General features: G+C 49.4%; 1 annotated feature.

Annotated features, from left to right (window-relative positions):
• Positions 8,421-8,500: an enhancer, noted in NCBI's record as "active region_214". NCBI's record gives its function as "activates an Ori minimal core promoter by ATAC-STARR-seq in GM12878 lymphoblastoid cells {active_cell/tissue: GM12878}" and the evidence as "EXISTENCE:reporter gene assay evidence [ECO:0000049][PMID:35858748]".

Genomic DNA, 12,080 nt, shown 5'->3' with positions numbered 1-12,080 from the left:
AATTAACTGGATGTGGTGGTGTGTGCCTGTGGTCCCAGCTACTCTGAAGGCTAAGGTGGGAGGATCGCTTGAGCTCAGGAGTCAGAGACTGCAGTGAACGGAGATCGTGCTGCTGCACTCCAGCCTGGGTGCCAGAGTGAGACTCTGCCTCAAAAAAAAAAAAAAATTCAATTTAGATAAATTGTTAAATAAACAGTAGTACAGGTTGTCATCAACTATTGCAAAAGTCATATGAGAATGAGGGCTGGGAAACACTGGTCTGCATCTTCCCAATTCCTCAGGCTGCATGTCCTTGGTCAAAGCTTCCCTTTGCAGTCCAGCCCCAGCGCCCCTCCTTCCTCTGAGTGATGAAAGAAAGCATTGTGGCCAGTGCCTCTCAGCCTCTCTCCTGCTAATCATCCCTTTGTCATGCGCCCTGCACCCCAATTCACCCCAAGACTGAAGCAAGCTCCTTGAGGGAGGACAAATAAAAACCCAAATCCAATCCCTACAGGGGAAGTGCTCCCTTACTCCTGTCTCCCCCGAGACCTTGCCTCCCCATGTCTCTTCATGAAACCTCATCTCCCCGTGTGGTGTGGTTTAAATGTGTCCCCCCAAATTGTTTTGTGGGAAACTCAATCCCCAATACAACAATGTTGGAAGATGGCACTTGCTGGAAGGTGTTTAGGTCATGAGGGCTCTGTTCTTGTGAATAAATGAGTGCAGTTTTAAAGACTTGACAAGGGGAGTTTGCTCTCTCACTCTCTCTTGCCCTTCCACCCTCTACCCTGTGAGGACACTGCATTCCACCCTCTGGACAGCTGTCGCCGGATGCCTGCACCTTGATCTTGGACTTCCCAGATTCCAGAACTGTGAGAAAATAACTGTCTGTTTCTGATGAGTTAACCAGTCTTAAGTGTTCTGTTTTAGCAGCACGAGATGAACTAAGACACCATTTCGCCCCTTGTGCGCTTGTTCCCTTATGTGTCCTTATGAGACCTCGTCTCCTAACATGACCTTATGTCCTCATGTCTCCCCACATGACCTTGTCTTCTCAGGTCTCCCTATGAGACCTTGGCTCCCCATGTATCTTCATGTGACCTTGTCTGCCCATGTATCCCCACAGGACCTTGTCTCCCCCATGTGACCTTGTATTTTCATGAAATTTTTTTTTTTTTTCTTTTTGAGATGGAGTCTTGCTCTTGTCACCCAGGCTGGAGTGCAATGGCACGATCTCGGCTCACTGCAACCTCTGCCTCCCGGGTTCAAGCGATTCTCCTGCCTCAGCCTCCCGAGTAGCTGGGATTGCAGACGCGTGCCACCACACCTGGCTAATTTTTGTATGTTTAGTAGAGATGGGGTTTCACCATGTTGGCCAGGCTGGTCTCGAACTCCTGACCTTATGATCCACCCTCCTTGGCCTCCCAAAGTGCTGAGATTACAGTTGTGAGCTACCGCGCCTGGCCTGTATTTTCATGAAATCTTATCTCCTCATAGCTCCCCATGAGACCTTGTGTCCCCGTGAAACTTTGCCTTATGCCTTACTCATAGTTGGTGCACATGTGGCAGTTGGTCCGCTCTGGTGTGGGAACTGTGACATGAATTGACATAATTAGACGAGTGGGTGGGGTTGTGGGGAGCATCTAAGCAGCAGGCCGGGCACCACTGCATACCAGCAAATGAGTTGTTGTTTCCAGACAAGCCAACAAGTTGAGTAGAGGCACTAATGCCTTGAGCAGCCTGGCTCTTGGCCTTTCATTTGTTTGTCTCATAAACTCTGAAATTGTGTTTCTTGGGAAGTGGAGTATAAACCCATCCCCACTTCCTGGTGCTCAGAGCCAACAAGCCATCAGCACTGACCATCGTGCTGAACTTCTGGTGGGGACTTAGCGGGGAGTAAGGCTCTCACGTACTCCTGCCTGCTAAGGTCTCATCAGCAGCCCTTCTTTTATTTATTTATTTATTTGTTTTTTTTTTGAGACAGAGTTGCGCTCTTGTTGCCCAGGCTGGAGTGCAGTGAACCTCCCGGGTTCAAGCAATTCTCCTACCTCAGCCTCCCGAGTAGCTGGGATTACAGGCATGCACCACCACGCCCGGCTAATTTTGTATTTTTAGTAGAGATGGGGTTTCTCCATGTTGAGGCTGGTCTCAAACTCCTGACCTCAGGTGATCCACCCACCTCGGCCTCCCAAAGTGCTGGGATTACAGGCATGAGCCACTGCGCCTGGCCAGCAGCCCTTCTTTTAATCATGGAGGCAGCATCTACAGAAGTATATGGGAATGAGAAGAAGGTCTATTCTGAAAATGAAGTGGTTTCCTGGCTCATGCTTTTGCCTTTTGGAAACTAATGATTTATTTGCAGGATGTTCCTCTTTTCCATTTTAAGTTTATTCTTGGGACCTGGAAAAAGAACTGTGGGGATTAGCTTCTGTCTAGAACTTGCTATGGTCCAACAATTTTACTTGCTTAGATTTTCTTTCCTTTTTTAAGTCAATGGTTTTTTTTAAATGAATCTATTTCAACAAATATTTACTGAACAGCCTCTCTGGCATGGAGTTTAAGAGCGTGGCAGTGGAGTCAGACTGGCTGGTACCAGATCCCACCTCTGCCACCTGCTAACTTGTGGCCATTGGCACATTAACTTCTCTAATGCTGACTTATCCTTTCAATGGGGATAGTATTGGTACCTGCCACATAAGAGAAAGTGATGATGATCGAATGAGATCATTCCTGTGGAGGAATTAGTACACTGCTTAGCACATGCTAGGCACTCAATGATGGAAGAGGGGGAGGAGGAAGATGGCACATGTCATGCCCCATGATAGGTTCTGGGGACACCCACATCAATGAGAAACAGTCCTTGCCCACAGGGGTCCATAAAACATCCATCAGATGTAGCAGTCCTTGTTGGAACAGAGAGTGGATTGGGCCAGGGATGGTGGAGGGAGAAATCCATTCACTTGCCATATGTTGGGCATGTCTTCAAGAGAAGCATTACCAGCCTGCCGGGAGAGGAGTGGCATGACCCGAGTTTGGCCCTTGGGAGACGTTGCTGAGCCTGTCCAGCTCAGTGCATTCTCTTTGCAGAATGTCTGGTCCTCAGTGGAGGTTCTCTACTGCTCCACACCTTAAGCCTAACCTGGCTGCTGTGCTCCTGCAGGAGAGGCTTTGGTTTTCCAGCCCCACCTGTGGCCAGGTGGCTAAGTGTCTCTACTTCAGAGATGAAGTACTAAGAAGCCCCTGTGCCCACACTTCTTATGCCACTTCCTTTAATGCAGCTATTTCAATTTTTTCTTTTTTTTTTTTTTTTTTTTTTAGACGGAGTCTCGCTCTGTCACCCAGCCTGGAGTGCAGTGGTGCGATCTCGGTTCACTGCAAGCTCCACCTCGCGGGTTCACGCCATTCTCCTGCCTCAGCCTCCCAAGTAGCTGGGACTACAGGCGCCCACCACCACGCCCAGATAATTTTTTGTATTTTTAGTAGAGATGGGGTTTCACCGTGTTAGCCAGGATGGTCTCGATCTCCTGACCTCGTGATCCTCCCAAAGTGCTGGGATTACAGGCTTTTTCAGTTTTAAAGCCGTGTTTCATTGTGTTCTCTATCTTTACAACTTTTCTGTCCATGTGGTAGGCAACCTCCAAGATGGTGCCCAATAATTCCAGGCTCCCGGTACTCATGCCCTTGTATAGTGCCACACTGTATGAGGCATGGTCTATGTGATCATTAGCATATGGCAAAAATGATAGTATGTCACTGCTGGGTTCTCTCTCTCTCTCTCCACCCCCTCCTTCTCCCATCACCTGCTTTGGGGAAGCCTGAACTCATATCATGAGCATCCCTAGAGAGAAACCCACATGTCAAGGAAGGAGGCCTTCTGCCAACAGGAAAGTGAGTGAGCTTAAAATCAAGTCTTCCAGCCTCAATTGAGCTTTGAGCTGACTGTAGCCCTGGCTGACCTCTTCGTTGCAACCTCCTAAGAATCCCTCCCCTCTAATCACCCAACACATCCACTCTCAGATTCCTCACTCTCAGAAACTGAGACAATACATATTTACTGATGTTTGAAGCTGCTAAATTTTGGGATCCTTTGTTATATATAACTAATGCACTGCATGTCTCAATTGTTACTGTACTCTGAAGGGGATTAAAGGGTGTTACTGCTAGGCACAGTGGCTCATGCCTGTAATCCCAGCACTTTGGGAGGCTGAGGCAGGCGGATCACGAGGTCAGGAGATCGAGACTATCCTGGCTAACACAGTGAAACCCTGTCTCTACTAAAAATACAAAAAATTTGCCGGGTGTGGTGGTGGGCACCTGTAGTCGCAGCTACACAGGAGGCTGAGGCAGGAGAATCGCTTGAACCTGGGAGGCAAAGGGTGCAGTGAGCTGAGATGGCACCACTGCACTCTAGCCTGGGCGACAGAGCAAGACTCCATCTCAAAAAAAAAAAAAAAAAAAAAAAAGAGTGTTATTGATTGGCTCCCTACAGTTTCAACAGATGACGAGATCAGAGGTGTAACACCTGGTCGACTACGCCCTAGTCTGGATGAAAACAGTGCAGGGTATTTGATTACCCATCTGGCAGTTGGAATCCTGGCTCTGCAGTTGCTTCCTCCCGCCTGATCATAGGCAAGCCATGTCAGCAATCTAAGCCTCAGCCTCTCCATTTAGTGAAAGGAGGTGATAATACCGACCTCATGAAATTGTTGTAAGGATCAAATGAAATAATGCATGTGAAAAATGTAAGGTGTGTGAGCTATTAACATGAATTTCTGCCATCTCCTATCATGAACTCACAGAAGGTGCTGGGGGACACACCCCTTCATCGCCCCACCCCACCCCACCTATCATTCATCCTTCCAGAGGGTGGGCAATAGAGGAGGACCTCGGTTGTGCAAGCTAAGTGGGATATGCCTATAAAATAGCAAAGGCCAGGCATCATGGCTCACACCTGTAATCCCGGCACTTTGGAAGGCCGAGGTGGGTGGATCCCCTGAGGTCAGGAGTTCAAGACCAGCCTGACCAACATGGTGAAACCCTGTCTCTACTAAAAATACAAAAATTAGTCGGGTGTGGTGGCTCACGCCTGTAATTTCTGCTACTTGGGAGGCTGAGGCAGGAGAATCGCTTGAACCCAGGAGGCGAAGGTTGCAGTGAGCTGAGATCATGCCATTGCACTCTATCTAGCCTGGGCGACAAGAGTGAAACTCCATCTCAACAACAACATAAAATAGTGAATACATATTTGCCTTTTGAAAATCACCCAAATATCACCCAAATCTCACTTTCATTTGTGCAAACCACCAAATGATCCCACACATTGGACCTGAGTGTGCACAGACAACAAGCTCTCCTCCCTGATTTGGTTGGAGGACATTTGGGACAACTGGTCCCCTTCAGAGTGGATCCTTTTTTTTTTTTTTAATTTCCAGGAAGAATAGAGTCTGATTATTTTATCAAGAGCTATTCCCAAGTGATGAGTCTCTAACAGACATTCAGGCGCTGGAAAGCAAGCATAATGCCCCAGTATTAAGTTTACTCGGCTAATTTTAAATCTCTGGGCATCCATCATGTACTTAGCTCCAAATTATACGTTCGGTCTGGGTTTTTCTTAGGCCTCATCTGCACAGCAGGTAAATAAAACAGCCCTGTGGAGGAACCATAAAAAGACTTGTAAAGACTCAGTGTTTCTGGCCTTAGCCAGGGCTGCAAGTCGCCTGTCCAGCAGAGCTGTCATCCAGCTACTGTGCAGTTGGCAATTCTAGGACCGTAACACCACCCAGGATAAATAACAGCTCAGGTTACTGGAGGCCACCAGCCCAAGAGGTCCTCAGCCTGGACCTCTCCTGGCTAAATCATTTGCCATCAAAACCAGCCTGTTCTTCCTGCAGTCTCTGGAAATGATCACTCTGGGACATTTGCAGTGACTGTCCTGGCCGCGAGACGGCAGCAGGGCAACATTCCGCCGTGGGTGCCAGGCCAGGAAGAAATGGTTTGGCATTTTCCTTTCTGTCCCCCAGCATGATGCCTGGAGACAGGACAAATATAGCGTAAACAATAGTCGAAGGCTGCAATTTGAGCGCCACAGCCTCGGAGGCCAGCTTCTTCTCTTTCTTTTTTGAATTTTTTTTTTTTTTTAAATCTAATGAGAGGGAAATGAGCCGGGTGTTTGGAAATAGAATTCCTCTTTTTCAGGTCAGGGTCTAGGCTCAGATTTGCCTGGTTGGAACAGAGCCCTGTTTCTTCTAATATGAAGTAATAAATGCATTCACTCACTCGGCAGCAAGTTTTCGAGCACATACCAGGCTGCTCAGTATCGAGACAAGCCGGGCACTCTGTGGGGACACCAAGAATGCTAAGGACTTCCCGGGGGGAGCTGGGGAGGTGGGTGCCAGTAGGGGCGTAGGTAGGAGCTAGGCCAGGTGTCACTGAAGTAGGGTTGAAGGATGGACCTGACAGTGCAAGTGAACATCGTAAGGGTGCAAGGAGAGTGGAAACTTCAGACAGAGGCTGGGTCGTGAGCGATGACATTGAGCTGGCTGTCAGGAGCTGGCCCTGGGCAGTTTAGGTCATCGCTGGGCCTGAGCCACCATCCTCCTGGCCTTCTAGTCTGACTCCCTGCTTCTCCTCAGACCCCCACTCCACACCAGCCTCACCCAGCAGCTAGCTGGGTCTTTAAAAAATATTAATCCCGGGCCAGGCACGGTGGCTCACGCCTGTAATCCCAGCACTTTGGGAGGCCGAGGTGGGCGGATCACGAGGTCAAGAGATCGAGACCATCCTGGCCAACATGGTGAAACCCTGTCTCTACTAAAAATACAAAAATTAGCTGGGTGTGGTGGTGTTATGCTACTCTCAGCTACTCGGGAGGCTGAGGCAGGAGAACTGCTTGAACCTGGGAGGTGGAGGTTGCAGTGAGCCAAGATCGCGCCACTGCACTGCAGCCTGGCAACAGAGCGAGACTGTGTCTCAGAAAAAAAAAAAGGCTGGGCGCGGTGGCTCATGCCTGTAATGCCGGCACTTTGGGAGGCCGAGGCGGGTGGATTACCTGAGGTCAGGAGTTCGAGACCAGCCTGGCCAACATGGTGAAACCCCACCTCTACTAAAAATTCAAAAAATTAGCTGGACATTGTGGTGGGCACCTGTAATCCCAGCTACTTGGGAGGCTGAGGCAGGAGAATCGCTTGAACCTGGGAGGCAGAAGTTGCAGTGAGCCTGGGCAACAAGAGTGAAACTCTATTTCAAAAAAAAAAAAAGAAAGAAAAAAATTTAATCCCGGCCAGGCACAGCGACTCACACCTGTAATCCTAGCACTTTGGGAGGCCAAGGCAGGAGGATTGCTTGAGGCCAAGAGTTCAAGACCAACCTGGCCAACATACCAAGGCTCCCTCTCTTTTGTAAAAAATAAATAAATAAGAAAAAAACATTAATTCTATCAAGCCCATCCTTCATGCAAAGCTCCCCCAGTGGTTTCCCAGCTTACCGGTCTCAGGGGCTACCACAGTCTGCCCCACAGATATCTCCTGCACAGCCCTCTGACAGCCTCTCATACCTTCTGCCTTCCAGAACACACTGGCCTCCTTTCAAATTCTGGAACTTTCCAAGCCTTAGGGCTATAGGACTTACTGTTCCTTCTACCAGGGCCTGCTTCTCGGGCGTGGACCCCGAACACTCTGTCTTGCCATCCTGAAATTCCTCATAATTTTTGAGCGGGGCCTCACGTTTAGTTTTGCGTTGGGCCCTGTGAATGTGTAGCGAGTCCTACCTCTAACTAGAACGCGCTGTTTTCTGTGGGTCTGGCTCCTTCAGTCAGCCGGGTCTTCCCTGCTCAAATGTCACCTCCTCCGAAGGGCCTTCCCTGGCCATCTGTCTGAAGGAGCTCCACTGGTCTCCCTCCACCCCAGAACCGCTTTCTTCTCCTCACGACACCATCCCACCCGAAGTGACCCCATCCTTCAGCTCTCTCCCTGTCTGCTGTCTGCCCTGTCCTGTTCATACCTACCTGCCTGCAGCGATGTCCCTGACTCAGAGCTCAGAGCTGGTGGCCCCGTCAGCACCTGGTGCCTGTGAGTGGCATGAAGAGGACAGGCTTGGGAGGAGGGTGGGTGCTGGGTCCGATGCGGCAGGGGAAGCCTGGGGGCTCAGGAAGGAGCAGTCAAGGGGCTGGGGGGCTTTCTGCTTAACCCCTGTGGAATAGTTGCCCTCTCTGAGTGCAGTCAGCAGTCATTTCATTGGTCTCTAGTAGGACCCTGTTCACTTGCCGTGCAGGATCATTGTGTTATCTGCTTGTGGGTCACTCAGCAGGATTTCTTTCCAGGAGGCCCAGAGTCATCATTAGAACAATCGCCCACCGTCCACCTAGAGATGAGTTAGCACCAGCATCTGAGGCTTGGGAGGAGGAAGGTCAGGCTGATTTTGTTTCTGTTTCTGTTTCTGTTTTTTGAGACAGGGTTTCTTTCACTCTGTCACCCAGGCTGGAGTGCAGCAGAGCAATCATGGCTCACTGCAACCTCAACTGCCTGGGCTCAGGTGATCCTCCTGCCTCAGCCTCCCCAGTAGCTGGGACTACAGGTGCACACCGCCTCACCAGGCAAATTTTTAATTTTTTTGTAGAGACGGAGGTCTTGCTAGGTTACCCGGGCTGGTCTCCAACTTCTGTCCTCAAGCAGTCCCCCCACCTTAGCCTCCCAAAGTGCTGGGATTACAGGCCTGAGCCACCACACTCAGCCTTTTTGAGTGTGCTGTTTGGTTGGTGGGTTTTGATTATCTTTGATGATCTGAGCTTCTTTCCATGAATGGATAATAGAGTCAGGCTGTTTTCTCTTCTTTTAAAATCTTTGCTCAGCCTTAGAGTGCAGGCCCAGGCAAGGCAGTTCCCCTGGACCACGCCAGCATTGCTCTGCTCTGTGTCCCATTACCTGGCACGACCTCTTGGGCCGGATAACTTGGGGGGAGGGAATTCTCCTCTGACGTCAGTGGTTGATCTGACTGTCCTTAAGCCAGAGAAGAAACAGGCTGGCATTTTCTTTCCAACTTGGAGCCTCTCAGACCCAATCCCGGCGACAAAGGAAGGGCTGTCCATCCAGGCAGGGCTGTTTATAGCTTCTGCGTGCTCGGCAGCTTGATGCAAGTTAAGTCAGGCTTGAGTTATTGACTAAATGTTTGCCTGTGCATCTCCAGGTTAGAGTCATCCTGCAGCAGAGCCCTTGAAGGACATCCGGAAGCGCACAGCTGCTGCCTCCGCGCCTATGTTTTGCTAACGGATGAAGTTTCTTCTGCAATTTCTCCAGTCTGAAAAAAAATGACTGACTTAAGGCTTGTGAGGGCAAATGGTTCAAATGGTACCGTATGCTTTGTATTGTTCAGTTAAGGATGTGCCTTTCTTATTAGGATTGTTGTTGTTGGTTGTTGATTTACCCAGGACTAGAAGATAGGACTGTCTCCCTCTTGGAGAGATGGAGTCTCTTTAATTCATTCAAGAAATCCTTAGTGATCCTCCACTCTGGAACAAGCAGAGTGTGAGGCTCACTTTTGGGGGAAATGAAAGAGAATAAAAATTGCTGTTGGTGTAGGCATAGCGGCTTACACTTATAATTCCCAGGCCCTTGAGAGGCTTGGGTGGGAGGATTACTTGAGGCCAGGAGTTCAAGACCAGCCTGGGTAATATAGCAAGACCTCATCTGTTGTTTCAGTGTCAGACACTGACGTAGGTATAATATGTGTGTGAGCTTACCGTGTCCTCCAGCCACTCTCTAGGGGGCGTTATTATGATTCCCATTTGACAGCTGAGGAATCTGAGTGCTAGATTCCTAGATTCCATGGCTTCCTGAGTGCAAAGCTGTGTGAGGAGTCACCCGGTGAATACATGGACAGCTCGGACGAGACCCATGGGTCCAACTCCAGGGTCCAGGCTCATCCACCACCACCCCATCATGCCCTGCAAGTTCTTTCCTGAGTTGAGAAGAAAGAAAATGACCTAAACTCATGGGCTTTGCCTGCAACCTCATGATGGGTCAGCCGGTCAGCCAGCCCCAGTGAAAACTAACCTCCTTCCACTACCTCTCTTGTCTGTGATCTTTGGAGGAATTGCCCCATTTGCTCTGTCCAGCAGAAAAACCTGGCATTGGGCACTTTTTCAGGTGTATTGCTGGCTGGACTGCCACATAGAACTGTGCAGGTTATATACCGCACACCTCCAGGGGGCACCACTCCATGGAAACTACTATCTCCTGCAGTCACACAATGGCTAATTGCACTCTTACTGTATGCAGTGGCCCTCAGTTGAGATTCATTGCCTTAATGAGGTCATTCAAAATAAAGGGGCTGAGAGGGTAAAATGAGCTGGAGGAAGGAGGGAAATTATCAAGGATGGGCACCACCTGGCCAGAAAAGGCTCAATGCCAACAATAGGAAAGAAAATGGTTTTATCAAACTTATATTAGCTATTGCTGTAGAACAAAGGAACCTAGAGTTTAGCAGTTTGAAACCACAAACATTTATGATCTCGCAGGTTTTGTGGGTCAAGAATCCGGGAGTGGCTGGGCACAGTGGCTCAGGCCTGCAATCCCAGCATTTTGGGAGGCCAAGGCGGGTGGATCACCTGAGGTCAGGAGTTCGAGACCAGCCTGGCCAACGTTTTGAAACCCCTGTCTCTATTTAAAATACAAAAATTAGCCAGGCGTGGTGGTGGGCACCTGTAATCCCAGCTACTCAGGAGGCTGAGGCAAGAGAATCGCTCAGACCTGGGAAGCGGAGGTTGCAGTGAGCCGAGATCATGCCACTGCACTCCAGCCTGGGCGACAAGAGCAAGACTTCATCTAAAAAAAAAAAAACAAAAAACAGAATCTGGGAGCAGCTTCACTGGATGGTTCTGGTTCAAGATCTCTCCAGAGAATGTGTTCAGGACATCAGAAAGGGCTGCAGTTTTTTGGGGCTGTAGAATCAGCTTCCAAGCTCCTCACTCATGTGGCTTTTGGAGGAGGCCTCAGTTTCTTGCTGACTGTTGACAGGAGACTGCAGCTCTTTGCCAGGTGGGCTTCTTCACAGACTTAATGTATTCACCACATGGCAGTTGACTTTCCCCAGAGAGGTTGAGAGACAGAGAGAGAGAGAACCCAAGCTGGAAGCTGTAGTCTTTTTATAACCTAATGTCAGAATTGGCGTACCATATGCTGTTGGTCATGGGGAACACCATAGCACAGTGTGGGAGGGGATTCCACATGGCTGTGAATAGCAGGAGCGGGGACCATTGGGGCCATCTTAGAGGCTGACCACCACACAGCTAAGGAGTACTGGCATCCTTAGAAAAGCAAATTTGGGGCCAGGTGCAGTGGCTCATGCCTGTAATCCCAGCAGTTTGGGAGGCCAAGGCGGGAAGATCACCTGAGTTCGGGAGTTGGAGACCAGCCTGACCAACATGGAGAAACCCCATCTCTACTAAAAATACAAAATTATCTGGGTGTGGTGGTGCATGCCTGTAATCCCAGCACTTTGGGAGGCTGAGGCGGGCAGATCACCTGAGGTCGGAAGTTTGAGACCAGCCTGACCAACATGGAGAAACCCCGTCTCTACTAAAAATACAAAAATTAGCTGGGTGTGGTGACGGGCGCCTGTAATCCCAGCTACTCAGGAGGCTAAGGCAGGAGAATTGCTTGAACCCAGGAGGCGGAGGTTGCGGTGAGCCAAGATCATGCCATTGCACTCTAGCCTGGGCTACAAGAGCGAAACTCCATCTCAGAAAAAAAAAAAGAAAAAAGAAAAGAAAAGAAAAGCAAATGTGGGAGTCAATTGCTGGATCTGCTAGCCTGGGCTTCCTAGACCCCTCAGGCCTTCGGGAGTTTTAGCATTTGAGCTCTTTCACTACTCACATGGGTCCTAGAGATGCGCACTCCTCCTGGTCCTTTCCAGATTGGCTTTGAGTGATTGGGTCCTTGTCTTAATCACCCATTCAGCCTTGCCCAAGCTGTTATGTCAGCCAATAGATTTCAGAAAGAGTTTGGACCTGAGGTCTGAATGGCAAAAGCTGTTTTCCTCACCCTCTTAAAGGATCCTTGAGAAAGCAACCTGTTAGAAACTGGGGCCGCGTCCTATCTCATATCGTA

This window comes from Homo sapiens, chromosome 1 (genome assembly GCF_000001405.40).
Source record: "Homo sapiens chromosome 1, GRCh38.p14 Primary Assembly".
Taxonomy (NCBI): domain Eukaryota; kingdom Metazoa; phylum Chordata; class Mammalia; order Primates; family Hominidae; genus Homo; species Homo sapiens.
This window is presented reverse-complemented; position numbering and strand designations above follow the sequence as displayed.